This window comes from Homo sapiens, chromosome X (assembly GCF_000001405.40).
Source record: "Homo sapiens chromosome X, GRCh38.p14 Primary Assembly".
NCBI lineage: Eukaryota > Metazoa > Chordata > Mammalia > Primates > Hominidae > Homo > Homo sapiens.
Genome location: NC_000023.11, coordinates 141850981 through 141878884, shown reverse-complemented (window position 1 = coordinate 141878884; position 27904 = coordinate 141850981). Strand labels below are relative to the sequence as shown.

General features: G+C 36.3%; 1 protein-coding gene across 1 annotated transcript in view; it reads right to left on the bottom strand.

Annotated features, from left to right (window-relative positions):
• MAGEC3 (MAGE family member C3) overlaps positions 1-27904 on the bottom strand; it is a 59517-nt gene that overhangs the window by 18948 nt on the left and 12665 nt on the right. The window contains exon 2 of the mRNA NM_138702.1: positions 13280-13414. Coding sequence (NP_619647.1) covers positions 13280-13414 — 135 coding nt within the window. The remainder of the gene's footprint in view (positions 1-13279; positions 13415-27904) is intronic.

Genomic DNA, 27904 nt, shown 5'->3' with positions numbered 1-27904 from the left:
ATTATTCCTGACATGGCCTGGGAGCCCTTCCCCTGCTGTCCAGAGACTATGTTCTTCAGATCAAGGTCCCCATTTCCATGAGACGCCCCCCAAGACGAAGTGAAAAGCGCTAGCATCTCTGACTGAGGGCCCTGCCCAAGGCCTCCCAGGGGTGAAAACAGGGCCTGGATTTGTGTGTCCTTCTGTTTCTTGGGAGGGGTGTCTCACCAGTCCTTCCTCTGTGTCATCCTGGGGATGCCTGGAAGGGCCTGAGTCCCTTCACCTCTCATGATCTGAAGTGAGACTCACCTAGGCAGAGCCTTCTCCTCTTTCTACCCTCTAAAATGTCAGGGGGACACCACAGTGGGCCACCATGCCCCAGGGCCTCCCAGGGCTGACAGCAGCAGTGGAGCTGGATTCTGTGGATCCTTCTCTTTGTGGGCAGGGAGTCTTGCAGTTATCTCTCAGAGGCTTCATGTGACTACTGGCTGGTCCTGGGTCTCCCTGTTCTTCTCATGATGACAGTATAACATACGGCAAAAAATAATGTAATTTTACCCTGAATAAAGCTAAAAAGCACGATGATGCCATGGTAATCAAGTTAACATCATCAGTGACAAATTTTGTTGGTACTATGTGCTGTCGGTATGATAAGAACGGCACTTCACCTCTCTGTTCATCCTTCCAGGAAACATTACCTACATCAAATCATGACAGAAAAAAATCACATAAATCCCAGTCAAAGTCAATTTTACAAAATACCTAACCATACGAAACTGTCAAAACTGTCAATGTTTTCAAAATCGAGAAATGTCTCAATCAACCGGTACAGCCAAAGGGCATCGAAGGAACATGATAACTAAATGTAATGGAGTATCCTTAGGGGATCCTGGCATAGAAAATAGAATTTCGTGAAAAGTAAGAAAATGTGACTGAAGTATGTTCAATAATAAATAAAGAATGTTTGTTAAAAACAATGTACAAATACTGGCTCATTAGTTTTAGGAAACCTTACCAAGGTAAGGTGTTAATAACAGGAGGCATTGAGTGTGGAACATATGAGAACTTTCTTACTATTGTTATAATTTTCTTGTAAATCTAAAATTATTTAAACATAAAGTTTATCAAATATGAAAAATGTTACCAAACTAGATAAAAGGATATGCATGAAAAACCTACAACAGATACATCTTTTAAGGAAATGTTGGAAGCCTCTAGTTTGAACTTGAGACCTAACCTAGAGTTTCTGCTACAAGTACTTCTATTACTTTTTATACTAGAGGTAGTAGCCAGTGTAGTAATCCAAAGAGCAGTAAATGAAGGAATGAGGATTGGCCAGTTGGAAACAAAGCGTTTGTGATTCATGCATGATTAGACTGTGCATGAAAAGAATCCAAAACAACTAAAGATAATTTATTCAATATATAATAGTATATCAGTTTGCTAGTATAAGGTCAATATTCAAAAGAATATCAACTTCGTTTTTTGTCAGGGAAAGAGTATGAAAATGAAAGTAAAGACTATATAATTTTAACCTATAGTACCAAAATATCAAGTATCTTAGGAAAATAATTTAACCAAAAACATTTTAACCAAATAAGACTGGGAGGCAGCTGATGGCTGGTTAAAATATTTTTTGGTTAAAAAAGCTTAACCAAAAAATTTTTACAGACAAAAATATTAAAATGCTGTTGAGGCATATTAACAAAGACCTACCTGAACATAAAATAAAATAAATTCATGGGCATGAAGATTCAATATTTTAAATATGTTGATTCTTCCCAAAAAGGAATCTACAGATCGACTGCAATCCTAAATCAAAACTGCCAAAGGGCTTTGGACATGAAGGCATGTGTGAATCACCTGATTCTAAAATATAAAGACATGCAAATGGACAAGCATAGTCAATATACACTTGAAAAAGAGTCATTAGTCTACCAGACAGTAAGAATTACAAAGCTACTATAATGAAGAGTTTGAGATTTGGGTGCAGAGATTGACAGATAGACCAAAGGAACTGAATGGAGAGTTCTGAAAAACAAAACCAACAAAACATGTATAAACATGTGCTTAACTGATTTTTAAAACTTGCAGCTTTAGAACAGGAGACAGTCTTCTTGAAATAAGTGTCAGTGGAACAACAGAATATCCATACAAAAACCCTAATGTAAGTGGAACCCTTTTTCATATTAAACAGAAAAAACAATTACAGGGAAATTCAAAACCTACCTTAAAATATGTTTATTATAAAAAACCTCAGAAATACACAGACATTCTTAGAATAATAAGTCTTTGTATAAATTATCTTTAAGCAAGTTCGCAGTATGAGTAAATTAGAGCATCTGTAAGGCTGGATTTGAAAGCACTGAAAGAGGCTGGGGTCTTTGGTCACTTCAGTACCAGGGAGAAGTAAGATAAGAGTCAAAGAGGAGCACAGGAAATAGCAGCTACTTCTGCCCCCTTGTCTCAGCCATAAAAGGCCTGACTGCTTTCATGAACCTTTGCTTCCTGAGAGCAGGACTTGAAATCTCAATAGTGGCTGGGGGAAGGCTACCTGGGACAACTTTGCATTAATTCCCTCTTACTTGGCCAGTCCTCCTGCTGACCTCTGGAACTCTGGGGGTCCAAGAAATATAATGTGAGCAGTTCTACTCCAGAAAGTCATGAATGGGGGATGTTGTGTTGATGACAGAAACCTGACCAGGTCCACAAATACTTTACTGACTTAAGAGGCAGTGCCAGTTTGCCCAAATGTGATGGGAATAGAGGTTTATTTTCCTCTCCACATAGATAGGAGATTCACATACTTCCTTTCAGCTGTTCTTACTCCTGACAGGACCCTCAGCAGGATTCAGGAACCCTGAGATTCCAAAAAAGGCTGACTTGTGGCTTTGCCAGAGACTTCCCTGAGGGTTGGGGCCCTCTTCATTGACTATGGCCAGGATCAACTCAGCCGTTCATGAGCTGACTTCCTTCTTCAGCTTTGGCTCAGTGTCCCGGGGCAGTGGGACTCTGCTCATAGCCAGGATTGGTGGACCAAACCTCAGCGCTCAAGGTGGAAACCCACAGACAAGGAAGCTCTTCTCCTAGACTGGGAGGCAGCTGGTGGGTAAATTCCAGCTCTGGTCCCATGCCCTCGGGAATTATCTTCATGGAGTTGTTCTTCTGAGGTCCCAAGAAGGGAGCATTTCTTATGGATGATAAAAAGAAAATGGAAACCTATTCTTTTACCTCCTGGTATTGGAAATAAGTCTCCTGTCCAGAAGAGAGAGGGACTAACGTTCTTGGGATTCAATCAATGGGGAGTGTCAGGGACCTTTTAAAGGAGTGAACACAACCATTTTCCAAACATGCCCCAAATGACTCACCTTCAGTTCCTTATTCTCACGTAGATTCAGCCTTCAAAGAACATGCTGCCTCTGTCACCGAAGATTTACCATAGTTGCCATGAATATAGATGTTTTGCGCACAGGTTTGGGGGAGGGGAGGGCATTCCCTGAGTTCAAGGAAGAAGGAGCATTTGTGTGTGGTTCAGAGAAGTTATAAAATAAACATGAGGGCTGACAACTTATTAAAAAATAATAGCTCAATGTGACTTTTTTGCTATAGGTGGCACATGTTTTGATATACTTGATGCCTCCCTTTCTCTCAATTTTTATCAAATCCAACAGCAGCATTTGTTACCCCAACCTCTAAAACCCATGTGAAGTCCCTCCACTTCAATTGATCTCCATTACTACCTCTGTGGTTCATCTCTCACCTAGACTAAGACAAACCCTCTTTTGCTGGTGCCTCTCCTTTCACATTCAGTCCTGTAAAATCCATTCTTTTCTCAGCATCCTTTTGAAAACCCAATGCATGGCTGATTTTTAAAACTTTGTATAGATCAGCGTTCACTATAATGAACATTTTTATTTATCATAGCAAATATAGAGTCTTACATCTACCACTAAAATGTCATAGAGATCCCTTCTTTTAGCCTAAAATTTCTCTTGCTTCACCTTGATAGTCAACCACCACCCCCTACCCAAATCACAGCAAAAACAGTGTGTTTAGTGTGTTTTCTTTATCTACTTTTTTTTTTTTTACCATTTCCAGATTTAAAATGCATAGAATAATACAATTCTGTTTCTAGAGTGAGTGTATTTTTTTTTCAAATTAAAATCAGCAATGACTGAGGGTACCTGTTCTTCAGCCTCCTGTTGAGTGTTTGAAATTTTCAGGCATTTTGATTTTAGCCACTCTAAAAGATGTGTAGTGGTATCCTGTTTTACTTTGTAATTCCCTAGTGACATAAGATGCTAATCATCTTTTTACATGATTATTTGCAATGTGTATATATTCTTTGGTGTAGTGTGTATCTACTCAGATCTTTTGTCCATTTTTATTGGATTGCTTTCTTGTTATTGAGTTGAGGGTTCTGAATATATTTTTGATACACATCTTCAGTCAGATTTTTTTTGCAAAACTTTTATCCTCGTTTCTCGTTTTTCCTTTTTGTTCTCTTAACAGAATTTTTTCATTTTTATGAAGCCAAACTTATCAATTTTTTCTTTCACAGATGTTCCTTTTTGGGTTGTATCTAAGAAGTTTTCTCGAACCATAGTTACTTAGGTTTTCCCCTGTGGTATCTTCTATGTGTTTCATAGGTTTTTTAAAATTTTATTTTCACATTTAGGTCTGTGATTGAATTTATGTGAGCTTTTGTGAAGAGTTTAAGGTCTGTGCCTAACTTCATTTTCTCCATGTGGATGTCCACTTGTTCTGGTATAATTAGCTGAAAAGATTATTCTTAATTTAAATGCCTCTGATTCCTTGTCAAAAGTTGGTTGACTATATTTCTGTAGGTCTATTTCTGGGATGTCTATTGCATTTCTTTGACTTTTTTGTCTATTATTTCTTTAATATCACACTGTCTTAATTATCGTAACTTTATAGTAAGACCTGAAGTTGGGAAGTGTTAGTCTTCCCACTGTCTTCTTCTTTAATATTGTGTTGGCTAATCTTAGTCTTTTGCCTTTCCACATAAAACATATTTTAGTCCTTAAAATAAGTTTGTTGGTATCCACAAAACAACATGCTAGGATTTTGACTGGGATTTTAGGCAATCTATAGATCAAGTTAGAATTGACATCTTGACAATAATGAGTCTTTCTATCCTTGAAAATTGAATATCCCTTCATTCCATTCATTAGAGTCTTATAGTTTTCTTTATACAGACCTTGTGCCTACTGTGTTAGGTTTCTAAAACAATTTTTAAAAAGACAGTGAAGTTGGAGGAATCACACAACCCAATTATATTATTTACTATTGACAGAGCAGGAGCACTGTCATCTTGGACAAACATCGCCACTTTAAGTTCCAGCTCCCTTTCTAGCCTCATGCATTTCAAGGAAATCACTTCTCTTTTGACAACAAGCAGCCAGAAAGAGCAGACAGTAAAACACAGATAAAACAGCTTGGGTATGGGTGTTGGGGTGGTGGTGGAGGAGGTGGGAGTATCTTAGGTAACTGCCAAACTTCACCCTCATACAATGGGCCCCAGTAAAACAGTGCGCCTTAATAAGCACATTCCTTTCCCTTCAGGTGCACTAAGATTGGGAAGCTAAAAGCAGACTCAGGGAGTATGCCTGCAGCTGCAGGAAGAGGTATGGGAACAGATACAAAACTGTCCCTCCCAGATAAGCACAACAAAGAAACACAAAAGCAGTCCAAGCCTCTGATAACCTCTCCCACCCTAAATCCTTAAAAGCTCTTAGTCTGTAAGAAAGAGTGCCTCTCACCTAACTCGGCCAGAAGCTCCTCTCAGGTTTGTTTTCCCTAAAATAAATGTGCCTTGACTGTCAAGCCACCTTTTGTGTTTCTTTCCTTTTCCTTTAATTCTTACATTTGGTGCCAAAACCCAGGATGGGTGTTGGGGGCAAAGGCTCTCTTGCAACCCAAGAAGCAGTGGGCAATGGCAGTTCATCCTGAGTTAACTCCTGGATCCTGAGGGTCTCTAGCCACCCACCCCATCTTTTCTCTCACTTCACTTTTCAAGTGATTTGCGTGAGGAGGACAACTAACCTGAAGGGGACTGTGAGGCTCAGGCCGGGGCTACTCCCCAGTGGACTCTCAAAACCCTCAGGTCTCAAGATTCCACCACCAATGACCTGCAGTGGATATTTCACTCCCTAACCCTTGCTCCCTCTTCCTTCTTCCTCCGTCTTTCTCTCTCTCTCTCTCCTCCTCATGTGGCTCCAGTCTAGGAGGCCCTTTACCAATTCCAACTGGAACATCCAACATCGGACACTAATTCAGCCGGCTGGTAAAATTTGCCTTCTCCTGGCTTTCTCCTGGTACCTGAGAAAGTCTGGCCTGCCATCCTGGTCCTCAGAGAACCAGTGGGACTAAGCTAGAGGAAATCTTGGGGATGTGCAGTTTCTTCTCAGATTAACTGTCCTCTTTCAGAAAGAGGATTCTGGGTCTCTGTCTTCTGTCTGGGGATGCCTAGAACAAAACAGACACCCTCGGCCTCCTCTCACCAGCTCACATGGGTCACAAACAATCCCACATTCCTACGTCCTTCCCTCTGGGCTGTCTTCTTTGCAACCTCACCAAACTTGGTTTACGGAGACCCTAAAGCCAAAGCGTTTAATTTTCTACTGTAAAATGGCTTGGCCCCAATACAGATTAGATAACGACAGCCAATGGCCCAAAAATGAAACCTTTAATGTTCATACTATCAGGGACCTTACCAACTTCATAACGAGGAATGGCAAATGGCAAGAGGTTCTCTATTTTCAGCCTTTTTTATTTTTACCTTAAATCCTGACCCTCCCTATGTCAAGCTTTCACCCCTCATAAAATCCTTCTTCTTAATAAAAATCCTCCCCAGGTCTCTCCTTCCCCTAAAACCCCTTTCTCCAAAATTCCTTTCAACCCTGCAGATGAACCCCTTCTGTATTCTCAACCCCCTGCACCCGCTCATTGCCCGTGTGAACCCTCTGCCCCAGCAGCCCCTCCTGTCCCCAAGCCTTTAGCCCCTAACCTTGCCCCTCCTACTTCTCCACCTGTTACCCATTCAAAAACTACTCCAGCCAGTCAGACAACCCCTGCCATTCTCCCTCTCTGGGAAGTGGCTAGATTTAAAGGCATTGCTCACAATCATGTCCCTTTCTCCATGTCTAATCTGTCACAAATCAAACAGCATCTGGATTCTTTCTCTGAAAATCCCTCTCCTTTTCACAGGGAATTCCTGCACATAACCTAATCCTTTAATTTAACTTGGCATAACATTTATATAATTCTAACCTCCGCCTGTTAAAAAAGAGTGCTCAGCTTAATTAAAATGGATATCCAAGCTATAATTATATTCAAAAGACCTTTATCTCTTCATAAATCTTGTTTTCCTGGAAAACGTTTTCCCTCAGCCATCTGAATTACTTCTCTCCACTCTGTCTTGCCACACTCTTGGTGCATGCATAAGAAACCCTAAAATGACTTCTGGTGGCCTGGGACTCCTTGGGAAAACAGAAAAGGCATCACAAATCCCATTTTGGAAAAAAAATCTCTGTTTTCCTTATGGAATCCCTGGAATTAGACGTAAATAAGTACCTCTCGAAATCTGTCTTTGTCTTCAATCTATGCTTGTTTATTAGGCCCTGGAAACTGTATTCCTAGCTCTGTTCTTAAAGGGCCTCACCTGAAGGCCAATAATCCAATTGGGAAATTACCAAATAAAAAATCTTATAACTACTAGATCTTCTTCTGTTGCCCGTGTGGTTATATATGTGTTATGTGTGCAATGTCTATTTAAAAAAAGCTTTAATTAATTGGCCTAAGAAAAATAAGTGCTTAAATCAAACATCTTTAAGGCAAAAATAAAAGTTGTGGTACCTTTTAGTTCACCTAACTTTAATATTTAAAAATAAAAACAGTCTTAGGAATTATTGGTAAAATACTAATGTCTTCAAGGTGTAAAAATGTGGTCTACATTATGCAGGTCAGATATTAGGTTTGCTAAATGTTTCAAGGTTGTAACCTGCTTCTTTGGCCTTTAAAAACTGTCAACTTGCCTGTGTCACAATTGGTAAGGCCAGACAGGTATGGAAGTAACCATGCCCCTAACTATGCTGGAAAAAGTCCAACTTCATCTGCATCTAGCACATAATTTAAAAAACTTAACAGGTTATACATGAAAGTTAAAAATTGCTAAAAGTTACCATTATAACATGTAATTAAAGCTACTAAACATGGATTTGGGTGCAAGGTGTATAAAAACAGTAAAAAGTGTTTTTAGTTAAAAATTATAAGAAGGCATAAAAATACACATTTTTCTTAAGAATAAAAAAGTCTTAAAATTAAATAAAATAAAGTGAATGGTTTCAGCAAATTATAAAAACATTGTAAAAATTAATCTTGCAAAAAAAACCTGTGTAAACATATTAACTAAACTCAAAAGGGTATTATATGGGTTTTTTTTCTGTAAATTAAACACTAAAATTAAAGCACCACAAAGTTTTCTTAAAATGCTAATCTACTCTTTAGCAAAACTTGTCAAGGGTCTTAACAGGTATATAAAAATCGCACTTCATGGTCAAACTGGTTAAAATTAAACAGGATTGTCTATAAGGTTTCATTAAAATTCAGGTTAACGTTACTAGCAAACTAATGCAAGGGTAAAATTTAACTTTCTCTCTTAAACAGGATTTTCATGTAATAAAAAGGCTAATAAATGGGTTTTGCTTTTCCAAATTTTTAACTCATCATTTTGGCAAAACAAAACAAACTAACAAAAACCAACTTAGGGTGATCTAAAATTCTATTTCATAATGTCAAGTGTTTTAAATTTTAAACATATTTAATACGCTTCCCAAAATCAAACTTTAGTGTCAAGGTTGTCTTTCCTAACCCCTGGCTTTTGGGTACTGCACAGGGCCCCTGAAGCATCTGGAAAAGAGGTAAACAGAATTATTTAACATGCTTAGGTAGATACAATTGCAAAAATGATGTCTAATAGGTTATATTTTAGGGAATAATAATATATGTTCCAAAACTGTATGGTATGTCTAAAGTTCTCGTGTCCAAATATGTGCTATTAATCATAATTAAAGTTGTTATGTTAGGTTATTGTAAACCACAGAAATAACCAAATTTCTTTGTCAGTTGTGTTTCTAATTGTATCCAAACTAGACATTTTGTTATTTACAGACAATCGTTATTTTCTTTTAATTCTCTTCAAAACATGATTTATAATCAAGCTGTGTCGCCTTAGCAAGTGCTCTCAAATGGAGGTTTCTCACAACAACAACAACAAAAAATGTACAGAACTCATGAACAGCTAAAATGTTTATAAATATCAAGCAAAACAAAAGTTAATAAAATGGACTAAACTAATAAAAAACAGAAACAAGTTTTACCTTTTGCTTAAAACACTGCTAATCCTTATTTTACTTTTCAAAGTCAAGAAAACTTGTCTTAAGCTAGCTACAGCCTTTAACAACTAAGCAAAGTATACTCCTGTAAAGTGAATTTAAAGGTTGTTTGTTTCTTTCTGCCTAGTTCCTCTAAAATTTAAAAACTAGTTGTAAGTATTCTTACATTACAACAATATAGTTGTTTGCATAAGCACAATAAGAACCTGTTTTCTTTTGTAACAGAACACAATTAAAAAAAAAACTGGTTATTTTACCAAGGCTTTAACTGGAATGGTATGCTCTCCTTTAAAAAATCAAAGAACTGGCCGGGCGCGGTGGCTCACGCCTGTAATCCCAGCACTTTGGGAGACCGAGGCAGGTGGATTACGAGATCAGGAGATCGAGACCATCCTGGCTAACACGGTGAAACCCGATCTCTACTAAAAATGCAAAAAAAAATTAGCCAGGTGGGGTGGCGGGCACCTGTAGTCGCAGCTACTCGGGAGGCTGAGGCAGGAGAATGGCGTGAACCCGAGAGGCGGAGCTTGCAGTGAGCCGAGATAGCACCACTGCACTCCCGCCTGGGTGAAAGAGCGAGACTCCATGTCAAAAATAAAAATAAAAATAAATAAATAAATAAATAAATAAATAAAATAAAAATTTTAAAAAAAATCAAAGAACTTATATAGCCAATAAAACCCTTGAAAAATCGACCTCGTATTTTGTGTACACAGTCCCTGTACAGAGTTTCTAATCTATGGTAAGTAAAGAATGTCACTTTCTAACAGGCCAGGAATCCCAAGTGATCTTAGAACCTCAAGAAAAAAAATTTGCCCAACTCATAGGTATTTAATGGTACAAATCCATGGCTAGGCTTGGCTTTTAAAAGTCTTATCTCAAATTCCTTCCATGAAACAAAGTTCCATCAAAGCCAATTTAAAAGGTCTAGTAGCAAATTCTTGCTGCACTGTATATAAATAATTAAGCCAAGTATAATAAAGCAAATCAATCCTACCATAATTTGTCTTTTAATAAAAATGGGAAACTGAAAAAGGAAAATTATGTTTCAAAAACTGTAGCTCACCTGTTGTTAAATTCTAGTCTGGCCTAATGTTTTTCAATTTTTATTATTTGCTACAGTTTAAACTATATCTGTTACAGAAATTAACTCCTGGATACATCACACTCAAATCAAAGCCTAAAAAGCTAAGAAAGCAACCCCTAACAGCCCAGAAAAAGTCCTAAATATTAATGTAAATAAATAAAAAATCTTAAGCTGAAAATCATAAAAAATAAGTAATGGAGTAAAAATTACCCATTTTACTCAATCTCACCCCTACCTCACCAAATACTTTTTTTCATTTCTACCTCTCCTTTTTTTTTTGAAGGCGGAGTCTCGCTCTGTCGCCCAGGCTGGAGTGCACTGGCGCCATCTCGGCTCACTGCAAGCTCCGCCTCCCGGGTTCACACCATTCTGCTGCCTCAGCCTCCCAAGTAGCTGGGACTACAGGCGCCCACCACCACTCCTGGCTAATTTTTTTGTATTTTTAGTAGAGATTTGGTTTCACCGTGTTAGCCAGGATGGTCTGGATCTCCTGACCTCATGATCCGCCCGCCTTGGCCTCCCAAAGTGCTGGAATTACAGGCGTGAGCCACCATGCCCAGCCTCTACCTCTCCTTTTAAGCCAAATATTAAAACATTTTTAATAAAAATTATTTACTATGCAACCCTTGCAGGAATTGCTTTACTCACTCTACTATTTGCAGGAGGACTATATACTGTAACACCCTCAAGGTAAAATATCAGACAGAAAATCTCAGTTACTATAACATTTTGCTCAATTATTATCCTCATAGCAGCAGTAACAGTTACTAACAAAAAATAATGCATAGGCCTTTCCAGTTTTATTTTAGAAAAATACACCCGAGAGGGGTTTTTGGGCAAGTTAGGTTAGAGGCACTCTTTTCGTTTGTTTGTTTTGTTTTGTTTTTACAGACTAAGAGTTTTTAAGGATTTAGGGCGGGAGAGTTTATCAGAGACTTGGACTGCCTCTGTGTTTCTTTGTTGTGCTTATCTGGGAGGGAGAATTTTGGGTCTGTTCCCATACATCTTCCTGCAGCTGCAGGCATACTCCCTGAGTCTGCTTTTAACTTCTCTTAGTGCACCTGAAGGGAAAGGAATGTGCTTATTAAGGCCCATTGTTTTACTGGGGCCCACTGTATGAAGGTGAAGTTAATAAATCTGTCTTTAGCTGTCAAGCCACCTTTCCTGTTTCTTTCTTCTTTCTTTGATTCTTACAACTGTAAGGCTACAGTAATAACAAAGAAAGTATGGCATTGGTTAAAGGATAGATTTTTTTTTAATGGAACAGAAGAGATAATCCAAAGGAAGGCCCCAGTGAGGTCCATTCAGTGTTTACAAATGTCTCAAGACAACTGAATTGAGAAAATTAGTGGTGGTTTTTTTTTTTCTGAAAACCTTTCTTTTGTTTATATTTTATTTCATCACTTTCTCTCTTCTTCATCTAACCTCCCTTGGCTATTGTCCTTCACTCAAAGGCACCCATTCTTGCTTGTTTTGTGAATGTCTATTTCACTATTCATATATTAATTTACGCATACGTGAAAGTATGTAATATTATTGTGTGTGTGTGTTAAATGTACAGAAGTAGTATTTGGTCAGAAATCTTGCTTCATTTCTTATTTTGAAGGTAAGCCTTATTTGAGCTTCATTTTCATTGCAGCATATAGATTTGGTTTATTTATCAGATACCTGGATAAATTCCTTTTTTATGTGTTACTTCATTTTACTTATGAAATCCCCTAGTGGTTACTTTTTACTCTTTGAAATTATGCTCAATTAATATTCATTTACATGTTTCGTTGTGCATTTATATGAGTTTCTGTGGGCCTATATCCAGGAAGGAAATTACAAAGTTGTAGAGTACAAGCGCTGTAGGCTTGATTGCTTTCCAAAAAGGTTGCACTAGCTTGCATTTCTATTAGCACTACAAGAGTGTTTTTGTTTTTTCACATTGTCATCAGCACTTGATATTGTTTGTTTTTCTACTTTTTGACAATTAAATGTGTGTAAAGTGGTATTTTAATCAGTGCTATGAGTTCAACTGGACATCCACATGCAAAAATATAAAATAAAATTTACCTGAATTGCATACTTAATATAAAAATTTTTTTAACATGGATTACAGCTCCATGGATTATAATTAAATTAGAAGCTATAAAACTTATGAGAAAACATAGGAGGAAATCTTTTGAACTGGACTTAGGCGAAGAGATGTAATACCTGAAACTAAATCATGATTCATTTAAGAAAATGATATATTAGACTTCCTCAATTTTAAAAATCTTTTCTTCCCAGGGCTAAGAGTGGAAACGGACTGGATTCTGTGAGGTCCCTGTGTACTTCTCAATTTCTCAAGGTAATCATATTTACTCTTGATCAGGGTCTTCACCCCGGCCCTTCTGCTGACTTGAGGCTGGCTTCCTCACACCAAGGATATCACCTCCATGAAATCCTCTAAAAGGATGTCAGGGGATAGGGAGAGTTGTTGCTACCTGATACCCATGCATGGGACCTCTCAGGATTCACACGAAGAGGAAGGTTCTTTGAAGCTCAGTCCATCTATAGAGGAAGGCTATCTTTGTCCTTTCTCTGCATTCTCACCTTAATGCATGCTGGAGCTGGAACTTCTCTCTCTGCTGACTTGAGTCTAAGGTGAGGAAGCCTCACCTCCCTCAGGCCCCAAAAATGAAGTCTACGGACATCAAAACTGGGGAAACCTGCCTTGGGCCACCCAGGGCTAACAGCACAGGGAGGGCAGGGCTAAAACTCCCTATATCTGTGGCAGGAGGTCCCCTCAGTCTTTCCTTAGAGTCCTTACCTTGAAGTATGTGGGGCAGAGGACAAGACTATCCATTCGCTGATCTGAAGTTCCACCCCTCAGAAAAAGCCTCACCTCCCTCAGATGCCCAAGATGAAAGGCAGAATAGTCCTTATCTGTGGCCTTTTTCCGGGGCTACTCAGGTCAAATATCAGGGGCAGGACTAGGCTGGGGCAACCTCTACCTGTGATGGAAGATCTACTCTATTCTTCTTTAGTGTCTTTCCCTTGATGAGTGAAAGCAATTAGAGAAAAAAAATGTCAAATTAAAAAGTATAAAATTTTATAAGAAAATATAAGGTAAATCTTATGACTTGGAATTAGGAAAAGATGCCTCAAAAATAAAACCAAAATTCAAAAAGAAACAATATATCAGACATCCTCAATAATTTTAAAAATTAGTTTTGAGAAAGACACTGTTGAGAGCAGAAAAAGTCAAACAACAGGTTGAAAAAAAATTTATAAATTACATATCCAAAAAGCACCTGTATCCAGAATACAGAAAGGGCTTTCAAAATCCAAAAATTAGAAAACATTTTCAAAATGGGCAAAATACACCAATAGACACTTTTCTAAAATTGACATACAAATGTTAAATAAGCACCTGAAAAATTATCCTACATCATTAGATTTTACAGAAAAACAAATTAAAATCAAGGTAGATGCATCATATTTTTGAGGACTGCTGAAAAATCCACTGACATTACTAACTGCTAGCAAGGATGAAGAGCATCTTGAACACTATTGTGTTTCCTGTGTGAATGTAAAATTGTGCAGTCACTATCTGGAAATTTCTTTTATTTCCCCCAGACTTCTTTTTTTTAAATTTATTTTAAGTTCAGGAGCACATGTGCAGGTTTGTTACATGGGTAAACTTGTGTTGTGGGGGTTTGTTGTACAGATTATTTCATCATCCAGGTATTAAACCTAGTACCCATTAGTTATTTTTCCTGATCCTCTCCCTCCTGCCATCCTCCAACCTCCAACAGGCTTCTCTGTGTGTTGTTCTTCTCTGTGCATCTATGTGTTCTCATAATTTAGCTCCTACTTATAAGTGAGAACATGCAGTATTTTGTTTTCTGTTCCTGCGTTAGTTTCCTAAGGATAATCGCCTACAGCCCCATCGATGTTCCTGCAAAGAACATGATCTCATTATAAACATACACTTACCATATGACTCAGAAATACCATTACTGTGTGAAATAAATTTGCAAACCTTATGTTCTCACAAAAACCTGTACATTCATTTTTATTATCTTTTTTCATTTTAATTTTTTTTTTTTTTTTTTTGTAGAGATGAGGTCTCACTATGTTGCCTAGGCTGGTCTTGAACTCCTGGGCTCAAGAGATCCTCCTGCTTCAGCTACCCAGAGCACTGGGATTATAAGCGTGAGCCACCATGCCCAGGCCAGAAACCTATACATGAATGTTTATAGTAGCTCTATTCATACTTCCAAAAGCTGAAAAATATGAAATGTCTTTCTGTAAGTGAATGGATTAACAAATTGAGGTGCATCCACACAATGGAATTCTATAGACCAACAAGGAGGAATCAACTATTGACATGCACAGCAATTTGGGTTGAATCCCCTATGCCTCACCTTTGTAGTCAACTAACAGCCTCCTCCAAGTCCCTAGTAATGGTGATCTGTTTTTCGTATCTTTTTACCTTTTTTGGAATGTCTATAAATCAGATAATACAATGCTTTCATCGAACGAGTGCTATATATTTTTTCCAACCAGCAATAAATGAGAGTAGTTCCTTTTGTTTCACATTATCTCTTATATCTGATATTTTAGGATTTTTAGCCACTCTAATTAGTATGTAGTAGAATCTTATTGTGGTTTAATTTGCACTTCCCCAAGGATAAATTATGCTGAGCATCTTTTCATATAATTTTGTGATCTGTATATCTTTTTTATTGAAGTGTATTTTCAAATACCTTGCATATTTTAAAATGAATAGGCTTTATGTTCTAGAATATTATTATGTTTTACCAAAACAAATTGATAAGAAAATACAGAGTTCTCACATATCCACTAACCTCCCCACAGTTTTCCATATTGTTTACATCTTGTAATGTGGTACACGTACTGCAATTGATGAATGTATGTTAATATATTATTATTAACTAAAATTTACAATTTAGCTAGGGTTCATTCTTTGTTTTACATTCTGTAGATATTGACAAATATATAATGTCATGTATCCACTCTTACAGTATCACATAGAATCGTTTCACCGTCCTAAAATGCCCCTGTGTCCCATCTAGTCATCCCTCTTCCTCCTTCCAACGAACCTCCAACAACAACTTATCCTTGCATTGTCTCTATAGTTTTGCTTGTTCTAGAATATCATAGATTTGGTATGATATACTCTGTAGGATTTTTTCACACTTTAAAAACCTTTATAAATAATTTTTTAAAATAAACAAAATAGATAAGGTAGTAGTGAAACTCCGTATATCCATTTCTCAGATTCTGCAATTTCAAGATTTTTAAGAATCATTTTTAAGTTTTTTTGCTATAAAAATATATGTACTTATTTATGGGGTACATGTGAAATCTGGTTACATGTATAGAATGTGTAATAAACAAGTCTGGGTATTTGGGATATCTGTGACCCAAGTTTTTATCATTTCTATGTGCTGGTGCATTTCATGCTCTCTCTTCTAGCTATTTTGAAAATTACAATACATTGCTGTTACTACAATCACCCTGCTCTGCAGTCAACATTAGAAACTATTAATTCTACCTAACTGTATGTTTGTACCCACTAACCAACCTCTCTTCACCACCCCAACCCCTGCTGAAACCATTCACTCACACTCCCCAGTCTCTGGTGTCCGTCATTCCACTTTTTATCTCCATGTGATCAACACTTTATCTCACACATATGAGTAAGAACATGTGATATTTGTCTTTCTGTGCCTGGTTTACATCATTTAACATAAAGACCTGGAGTTCCATCCATGTTGCTGCAAATAAAACTTCTTTCTTTTCATGGCAGAATAATATTCCATTGTGGATATATACCACATTTTCCTTATCCATTCTCCCTTGGTGGACATCTGGGTAGAATCTGTATCTTTGCTGTTGTGAATGGTGCTTCAGTAAACATGAATATGCAGGTATTCCTTTGATATATTGATTCCTTTCCCTTTGGATAAATAGCCAGTAGTGGATTTGCTGGATCATATGATAGTTCTTTTTTTCAGTTTTCTGAGAAATAGCAATACTGTTTTCCATTGCATTTGTACTGATTTACATTCTCACAACAGTGTATAAGAGTTTCCTTTTTCCCACATCCTCACCAGCATCTGATTTTTTTTTGTCTTTTCATAATAGGCATTCTACCTATGGTAAGATAATATCTCATTGGGGTTTTGATCTGTATTTACCTGATGCTTAGAGATATTAAGCATTTTTCCCATACTTGTTGGCCATTAGTATGTCTTTTTTGGATAAATGTGTATTCGTGTCATTTGTCTACTTTTTAATGGGATTTTAAAAAATTGTTGAGTTGTCTGACTTCCTGATATATGCTCAGTAGTAGTCCCTGGTTGGATAAATCATTTGCAAATATTTTCTTCCTTTCAAGGAAGGGAATTGTCTCTTCACTTTGTTTATTGGTTCCTTTGCTGAGCAGAAACTTTTTAGTGTAATATAGTCCCATTTGCCTATTTTTGTGTTTGTTGCATTTGCTTTTGAAATCTTAGCCATACAATCTTTGCCTGGACCAATGTTCTGAAGAGCTTTCCTTATTCTCTTCCAGTAGTTTTATACTTTCAGGTTTTACCTTTAAGTAAAATCTTCAGTTGTCTTATCTCAAGTTGATTTTTGTATATGGTAAAAAGTAGGAGTCCAGTTTCATTCTTCTGCATCTGGTTATCCACATATTCCAGCACCATTACTGAAGAGGCTGCCCTTTCCCCAGTGTATGTTCTTGATGGCTTTGTTGAAGATCAGATGGTTGTAAATATATGGATTTGTTTTTGGGTTTTTCATTTCATTCCATTGTGTCTACTTTTTATATCAATGCCATGCTGTTTTGGTTACTATAGCTTATACAATATTTTGAAGTCAGGTAGTGTTACGCCTCCAGCTTTTCTCTTTTTGCTGAGGATTACTTTGGTTATTGTGGCTCTTTTTTGGCTCCATACAAATTTTCATATTTTTTTTCTAATTCTGTGAAAAACGGCATTGATATTTTGATGGAAATTGCACTGAATCTGTAGATTTCTTTGGCAGGTATGGTTATTTTAATTATATTAATTCTTCTGGTGCATGAGCATGGGATGTCTTTCCATTTCTTTGTGTCCTTTGCAATTATTTTTGACATGTTTTGTAGAGATCTTTTTTCTTGTAAAGATCTTTTACCTCCATTTTAATGACATAATTTTAATACCCTTTCAATTCAGTGTATCTAGCGTCCTCGGATGGCCTTAGACATACCAAAATCAATAGACATCTTTGCTCATCATATCTATCCAAGGCATTAAATCCATCTGGCCAGATCACATCCATACATTCCTTCTTTAAATATAAAGTTTCAAAATTATCTTTGTACTTTTACAAATAAAGACATTTTAATTATGGTGAAATATATATAATAACAATTTTACTATTACAAATGGTCTCCAACTCAATCCAGGTTGCTGCGAATGCTATGATTTCTAAGTATACAGTTCCATGGCACTAAGTACATTCACATTGTTATGCAACCATCACCACCATCCACTTCCAGAACCACTTTGCATTCCAAACTGACACTCTTTATCCATTAAACAACTCCACATTCCCCACCACCACTCCTACAACTTGTCATTTGCCATTCTACTTTCTGTCTGCCTTAATTTGTCTATGCTAGATACCTCACATAAGTAGGATTATAAAGTATTTGTCCTTTTATGATTGGTTTATTTAATTTAGCATAATGTCTTCCAGGTTCATTCATGTTGTAGTGTGTCAGAATTTCCTTCATATTTAAGGAGGAACAATATTCTACGGGTTGTCTGTACCACATCTTGTTTATTCACTCATCTTTCAGCAGACATTTGGGTTGTTTCCACATTTTTGCTTTGGGAAATAATGTTGCTATATATGTGGGTGTACACATATCTGTTAGAGTTGCCATTTTCACTTCTTTTAGATATATACTCAGAAGTAGAATTACTGGATCACATGGCAATTTTATGTTTAATTTTTTGTGAAACCATTAAACTTTATTCCACATAAACTGTATCATTTTATGTTTATAAACATAAGCTGTCTTTCCATTTATTCGAATCAAGAGGGAGCAAAGTGCCAACTATACTTGTTTTGAACTGTCTAGATTAGTGTCATCAGTGTGATGGAACTGGATTGGCTTGCCTTTGGATCCTGCTCACACTACCCTGGTAGGGGAATCAGAGCACATCCTACCTCTGCCAACTGGGGGATGGAAGATCAGCTCTCTGCTAGGCTCATCTACACCATCCTTTAGGAAAACTGTTGCCTGCTTTTGCCAGGTAGAGATGGAAGGCTAACTCCCTGCTAAGCCTTGACAGCATTACCCTGACAAGGGAATCTGAATACCAGCAGTTTCAGCAATAGAGGGGATGTGAGATCATATTCCCAGTCCTCCCTGATAAAACTAAGTGGTAGGAGGGAAGGGCAGAAGAGGTTATTGAGCTTTGTCTTTTCATGTTTGGCTAGAATAGGACACGTATTGCAAAAAGCTTTTCTGTCATTAGGCCAAGCCGTTCCTTCTCTTTTGGCTTTGGGAAATAGGTTTTCCTTGGAAGATAATTTTGTCTTTTTTGTTGACAGCTCTGGGTTGGAAATGTCTGCAGTGCCCTATCTGGGATATAGGGGAGACAATAAGAAAACCCCCAAAACTCACTGTCATGTTGTTCCTTAAGTCCTAAATCCCTCTGTAGTTTACCTTCTTTATTCCACCTTTTAGAGTCACTTGATGTTTGTTTGAAATGTTACGTGCAGGGTTTTTAAGTTGTAAGGTGGAGGATATGAGATAAATGGTGCTATGCCATTTTGGTAGCATCAGAAGTGTTTTGGAATATATATTTTTAAAATACAGATAACGGACAAAAGATTAATATCTGTAATGTCCAAGGTCTCCTACTGATGCTAATAAAAACCAATTCAATAGATAAAAATGTAGTGAGCAGATATGTATAGGGTATTCACAAAAAAGTAAATCTAAACAGTCTGCAAGCATGTTCAGACTCATTAGTAGTCAGGGATATGCAAGTTAAAGCAATATGGATATCACTTTACACTCATCAAACAATTAAATAATCAGTAATGACAGCGCTTGGTGGAAATACAAATCAAAAGGAAACTTTCAAATAGAATAGATACACAATTCACTAAAATCTTTTTGGAAAGCTATCTGATAACACTTATTAATATAGAAAGATACAACCCTCACTTATTAGCAAACTAATTCAGAGGAATCTGTCTCATAGGTACAAAATGCTCTAGGGTTCCCGAGGATGTCTTGGAAGTTAATTTGAAAAAAAAAAAAGACAGAAACAAAGCGAATGGTCATTCATTTGGGGTTAGTCATATGACTTGTAATATACCATACTATGGAATATTATATAGCTATTAAAATAATGAATTAGAGTTACACAAGGTGACTGGAAGAATTTCCACAAGCTAGGCTAATCTGAGAAACTACAAATGCAGGAAAATGTGTAGGATAATATTTCATTTTTTAAAAATAAACCCCCCAAAAAACCCAGCCACACTCATTATTTATGAATGAATGTATGTATGTTGTGTGTTGTTATATATATACATACACACACACAAACATACACACACTATATATATAGTTTTATATATGTGTGGGGAGCAGAAATAAATATGCAGTAATATGTATTCGGTTTTTAACAAGGGCTTCCATGGTGTGTGTGTATGTATCTCACAAATACATACACACATATTTGGGTTACCAGGCAGATGCTAAGTTGGGAGAATTGGAAATCAAACAACATAAAGAAGAATTTTAAAAAATGAATATGTGAATATGAGCACAGATAATGCATTTATGTAAAATTATGTATGTAAATAAAATAAAGTCATAAAAATAAAACAAAATCGATTACTTGTAAGAAACGAGGTTTTAGAGATTGTTGATTATATGAGAAAGGCACCCATATAAGATAATTCCCTCACTTAAATTAGAAGTGTAACAAAATGCGCTTCCCCATGACCTTAAATCATTAAATTCCATGTGGATTTGAGCAAACAACCGATACCTGGAATTACTTAAACGAATATTTTTCAGCCCAAGACAAACTTGACCCTTCCTTTGCTGAAGAAGCATCAGATAATCCATCTGAGTTGTAAATGTGGATTATTTAATCTTACCAAAAAAAGCTGCATGCATCCTGACATTTTCTGGTAACAACAAACTTTAATGATATTGTTCTTTATTCTCTATTGAGTAATAATTCAATGAAATATCCAGACTAACTTATATGCATAAGTTATAAGTATATAAAGTTATAACTTATATAAAGTGTAACTATCACCTTAAATGGGAAATTAGTATCCTCCCTCAAATTAATTTATGTAAATTAATGCTGGCCATCACAGTAGTTACTATGCATGTATTCATTCATCATACACTTATTTTTTCAAGATATAGGCATTAAGAACCTATGATGTGATAGACTCTGTTCGAGGTGCTCAAAATACAGCAGTTAATATTTCTCACTCTTTTGAACTGCATATTATACTGGAGTGCAATACAATTAGCAAATGAGCCAGATAGTTACCAGAGAGTTTTAAGTATTATAAAGAAAAACCAAGGTGAGGAAAATATTCATGGAGTGAGGGTGGTGCGTGTTTCAGGTGTCAAGGAAAGGCTCTGTGAGTAGTTAACATTGGAGGAGAGACTTGAGTAAAGTGGGGTGGAGTCATCTGGAGTATAGGAAAGAACATTCCAGGCATTAAGATCAGCAAGGATCCAAGTTCTTAGGCAGGAACAAGCCTGACATGTTCAAGAAGCTGTGCAACGTTTCCATAACTAAAGCTTCATGCAGGAAGGAGGGAGTTACAGCAGGGGATACAGGAAACGGACAAGAACTAGAAGAAGCAGACACTACTAGGACATGAAAGGAGTTTGGTTTATATTCCAAACATGACAGGGTGCTACAGAAACCTGATGCGAAAATGTGGAAAATATAGAGGTTTGTGGAGAACTGAAGGGACCCAGTTATCCTGGAAGCTGGGAAAGAATTCTAAAGGTAATCTACAGTAAAAAAGCAGCTTTGATTAGCTAATCAATTTGCACCTGTAGGCAAAAATCAGTGGATTTGGGCCACTACTTACAGATAAGCAGATCTATTTCTGGAGCCCAGTTTCCTTATCAATGCCAAGTTCTGAAAGCCTGTTTTTTTTTTTCACAATTACATTCTAATGTGATAATTATTTAGTCCAAGAGTTCTTAACTTGGGAGACAAGGGCTTATTTAAGCACATAAAAGGGTCGATGATCCCCTGAAATTACATGCAGATTTTACTGAATATACTAATGGCTGCCTCTACAGCATGAATTTTTCTGGCAAGTGAGTCCATGGCTCTCATGAAATTCTCCAAAGAACTTCTCATCCGAAACGTTCAGGGATGCTGGACAGATCCACTGAAGTTCTCTTCTTTGTCAGGGTGTTTGCATTTGCAATTACTTGTTTTCTCTCTCCCTGTAATGAAAGCCAAATTGTGGTACAATTTTTGCTTTAAAACTGCTCCCTTCCACATATGTGTGAGAACATGCAGTATTTATCTTTCTGTGTCTGATTTATTTCACTTAACATAACGTCCTCCAGGCTCATCCATGTTGCTGTGAATAACAGGACTTCCTTCTTTTTATGGCTGAATAGTATAACATTATGTGTCAGTACCTCATTTTCTTTATCTATTCACCTATTGATGAACACTTAGGTTGATTCCACATGTTGGCTATCGTGAATAATGCTGCAATGAACATGAGAATCTTTTTCAACATATTGATATAGTTTTTTTTGGATATATACCTTTATTTGATTATGGCACATTGTACACATGTATTGAAATATCACACTGTACCCAATAAATATGTATAATTGTGTGTCAGTTAAAAGTAATCATTAAATATTTTAAAAAGCCGACTCTCTCAGTTGGTAGCATTCAGTGGATCCAGAATTAAAGTATAGAAAAGGGCCATCCTTTTTTGCAAATATGGCAAATTTTCCCCTGTTAGGAAACTTTTTAAAGCTCTGGTAGAAAAACTTTGAGATGTTTTAAGAAGGACTCCTAAATTATGTAGCACTAAATTCGCCTCACATGTGGTCATGGCCACCTTACTTCAGGCAATGCAACTCCCTCACAAGGATGTGCTCCATTGTCTAGCATCACGGTGTGCATATTACTTAGGCTTGTCTTTCGCTTTCTAAGTTATGAAAAACCAAAGCCAACTAACAAAGATGGATTCATCCAGCCACATGTTCACAAGATGATGGGTACATGTCTCAGAAATATTAGATCAAGGGTTAGGTCTGATGTCCATCTATATCACAACCTGGACACCTTTAGCCTTTCTTGGGTACTATGATGAATACTGATCAATACTGTTATTGCTCCAGATGGTTTCTTAGAAGTTTAAAAGCCATCCATTGATGTTCTAGTCGCCAACTTGGATGCACTGTTTTTGTTTCTTTCAATTTCTCCTGTAGTTCTATTTCAAATATGCTTACTGAAAAATATGTAATCCAATAAACAAGAGAATAGAAAGAAAGATAATACTCCAAAGCCTTATTTTCCCCATGCATGGATGTTAGATGATACAATAAAACCTAAAATTAACTATTTTCAATTTAGCTACCTGTTTTATACATGGTTCGTGAAATGAAAAGCATAAGTTTAATGTTGCTACTTACATTTTGAACCTGCACGTGGTTAAAAATGGAACCTTCTTAAGATTCTGAGTCGCAGGATATATTGGGAACTGTGCATTTTTCTAGCTTTCAGTTAGGTATTGATTTTTCAAACTTTCACCAAAATAAAATATGCTTTTCATTTATTCTTTCTACACATGTTATATCATATATATAGATTATAGCTGTGAAAGATACATGAAAATGTCTAGATGTTCTTGAGTGTAGTCTCAGTTCACAAGTATTTCTAACTTATTGAATAATGTTTTGGGAAAAATTAACAAGGTAATGACTATTAGTTATTAATACATTATTAGTTTTAGTGAATAAATGATTAGTAGTTTTAAAATATTGATTGAATAGGATTTTCTAGATATAATTCTAGATATAATTTCTAATTGAATGAGGAAAATGCATAGAGCACAGCAGTAGATAACATGCTGATCCAGAAAAAAAAAACAACTATCTTCTAGCCAAAGACCTATAACCTTGTCCGGCTAGTGTCAGTTGCACACTGTTGGATTAGTGGACAGCCAACTACACAATGTGAATTTTTCCGTGTTACCTGTCTTACCACTTAGCAAATGTGTACATATGCTCCTGAGAGTGAGCACTCTCAAAATCTAGATGTTCTTAAACTTGGTCTTCTGAAATACTTATATTTTGCTCTTGAATGTCTGAAAATTCCAGTTAGGGAAAGATGAAGAAATTAGTTCCCAAATGTACCTATGACTAACTCCCATGTGAGCACAAGATAACATATTTTTAAAGTTATTAACACTATCTGTGTGATCTCACCCTTGCCTACCTCTTCAGTTGTATATTTTTACATGGTGACTTTAATTACTCAAAAGAGACCAACTCTTTCCCAATTTTGGACTTGTCCACATGCAGAATCTTTTGACTGGAACATTCATCACCATATTAATCCGTTTTCTGGCTGCTGATAAAGACATACTCAAGACTGGACAATTTACAAAAGATAAGGTTTAATTGGACTTACAGTTCCACGTGGCTGGGGAAGCCTCACAATCATGGAAGAAGGCAAGGAGGAGCAAGTCCCATCCTACATGGATGGCAGCAGGCAAAGGGAGAACGAGGAAGACGAAAAAGCAGAAACCCCTGATCAAACCATCAGATCTCCTGAGACTTATTCATTACCATGAGAACAGTATGGGGGTACCACCCCCACAATTCAATTATCTCCTACTGGGTCCCTCCCACAACATGTAGGAATTATGAGAATACAATTCAAGATGAGATTTAGGCAGGGAAACAGGGCCAAACCATTTCAATCACCTTAGTTACTCCTACTCAGATTTCAGGTCTTAGCTTGAAATCACTACCTCACAGGTAGTTTTCTTGACCACTCCCATCCACTTAACTTACATCTAGAATGTTTATCTCCCATAATTCCTTTTTCTTTCTCTTCATAGGACATACCATAAATTGTAATCATCTGTGTGTGTGCAACCACTAAATATCTATCGTATATAATAACCATTAAATATCAATCTCCCTTCCTGGGCTATAAATTACATAAAGACAGAGATCATGACTATCTTATTCACCCATAATCTATCGCAGGGCTTAGAACAAAATTGGCTCAAAATAATCTGCCAACTTAATGAGTGATTAAATCAATCTAGTCCCATGCAAACTAGATTCAAGTCCACTATCACCTTTTATATAAGGTTGGCACATGTACAAAAGCAAAGTCACATACATCCTTATTGTGGGATAAGAGTGTGATGGTAATATAAGTTGGGACCCTCATGGTTCAAACATGGACTAGCCTTGTAACTAAATACACTTAGTCTATTGGCAAAAAAAGAATCATTAACTTCTGTTTATCAGGAAACATAAGAGGGGGTTCAATTAATCATAACCACTTTTCCTCATCGCTTTGCCTTTCCTCAGCTCTTACCTCTCAAACCATCACCTTAAAACACCCACAAAACCTTACCCTGCATGATTTTTTAAAATTACTTTTCTCTTTTTTTCTGTAACACTTTTCTTATGTGCCACCTAATCTCTCGATTCTTCATAGTGAAAGTCCAGAAATCTGTCTTATAAAAACAAGTGTCTCAGAAAGAGAAATAAATTTAGCAGAAAAATATAATTTTCTTTAGCAGGAGGAATTCAGTTTGTCCATTCCATATAAAGTAAAAATAAATCATTAGATAAGATGCAAATAAAAACATTACCAAAATATTACTTCCAGATGGAGGAGAGATAAACAAAAATGGCTCAAATTAAATCTTTTAACAAGATGTCCACAATCTGCACCAAAATACTCCCCGGAGTTTGGTTTTCCAGTAGACATTTACTTCAAAGCACCCAGGCTATATCAAAGGGAATACATAATTTTAATCAGTCTCTGTGGAAGTGCGTGTGATTCAAAAACTGACATGCATCTTGGAGCACGATTGACCAGGAACCTAGCTTTGCCACTTATTACCTTCAAAGGCTTGGGCAAGAAATTTAACCTTTGTTTCCCTCTTTTTAAAAGGCGGATGTAGTCAGCATACCACATACCACAAGGGTTGCCTTTCGAATTACAAATAACACATAGAAATCTGAATAGACCTGTAATAAATAAAGAGATTTATTTAGTCATAAAGAAATCCCACAAGGAAAAGCCCAGGTCCAGTGACTTCACTGGTGAATTTCACTAAAGATTTAAAAACAGAATTACCATGAATCTTTTAGAAAATAGTTTGTAAAGTAGAAACAGATGAAGTGCTACCTGTCTCATTCTATAATACCAAACCAGATTTTAAAAATTACAAGAAAAGAAAACTACAAACCAATATCTCATGTGACTATATATTCAAAAATCCTCAAAAATGCTAACAAAATCTAGCAATACAAAAATAGTAATATGACAAGACCAAATCGGATATATCCCAGGAAATCAAGATTAGCTTAACATTCAAAAAGAAATTGATGTAATACACCAAACAAATAGAATAAAGAACAATCATCTTAATAGACGTGGAAAGAAATTTCACCAAATCTAACACACCCTTTCATGACTGAAAAAAGAAAACAACTCAACAAACTAGGAATAGAGAGAAACACCCTCAACTTGACAAAGAGTGCATAAAAAACCCCTGCAGCTAACATGATACTCAAAGATGAAAGACTGTAATCTGTTCTCCTAATATCAAAAACAAGACAACGACCATTTCTATTCAACATAGAGCTGAAAGTATAACCTAGTGCAATTAGGCAAGCAAAAGGAGGAAAAGGCATCCAAATTGGAAAGAAAGAAATAAAACTCTCTCTATTGCAGACTGCGTGATTTGATATATAGAAAATCCTAAAGGATCCGCACATACACACAAAAATACTATTATTAGATATAATAAATGAGCTCAGCAAGGTTTCAGAATACAAGCTCAATATACAAAAACTCAGTTGTATTTCTGTGAACTAGTAAAAAACTTGAAAATGAAATTAAGATAATTCCATTTACAATAGCAACAGTAAAATAAATACTTAGGATTAAATTTAAGTAAAGAATTACAATGCTTACACAATGAAAACTATAATAGTGATTTGAAAAAAAAAAAAAAGACCTAAACAAGTGGAAAGGCATTCTATGTTCACGGATTGGAGGACTTAATATTGTTAAGATGGCAATACTGCTCACATTGATCTGTAGAAACAATGCAAGCCCTACCAAAATTCAAACTGTCAATTTTTGCAGAAATGAATAAGCTGATCATAATTTCATATGGAAATGCAGGGGACCCAGAATACCCATGACAATCTTAATAAAAAAGAACAAAGTTGGAATTGTCATACTTTCTGATTTTGAAATTTACTGCAATGTTACAGTAATTAAAACTGTATGATACTGACACAAGTATAGACATACAGATCAATGGAATAGAAGAGTTCAGAAATAAATTCACACATTTGTGGTCAATTCATTGCCAAGAAGGGTCCTAAGATAGTTCACAATAGGCAAATTCATAGGGATTAAAAAATAGATTAGTGATTGTCAGAGTCTGGGACAAGGAAAAAATGCAGAGTGGTTGCTAACAGGTGTAAAATTTCCTTTCAGGTTATTAAAATGTTCTCGAAATAGTGGTGACAGTTGAACAATCTTGTGAATATACCCAAAACCACTGAACTGTATACTTTTAATAATTAATTTTATGATATACAAATAAAATCTTAATAAGAACATCAGCCTAATTTTTTAAAATATTAAGCACAACCCACATAAGACAAACTTGTATTTCAATCTTGGCATTAACAGAAACACAGCCCTCACAATCTGATGCAATTAATAGTACTTAAAATAATAATATTTAATATAATATATTAAAAGTGCCAAACAAGGAGTGTAGCACATAGTAAGAATTCAAGCTCTAAAGACAATCATTTTCATCATCAATTTACCTACCATGTTGACAAAGATGCTTCAGTGATCTGGACAGACTGAGACTACCCCCAATATCCAACAGGCCAACTGTCACAGGGACAATGGTTAAATTGGAAGTGATGGAGAAATAAAAGGAAAACTGAAGAATCACATGGATTGGAACCAAAACAAACTGTTTTTTAGTTAGTATGTCAAGTCTCAATTTGTAATCACTAATCCTACTTCTATTTGTTGGATGAGTTTGTGGTGAATTAATATTAATTTTTCTTAAAAAAGCTTGGTAAAATTTATTACTGAAGTAA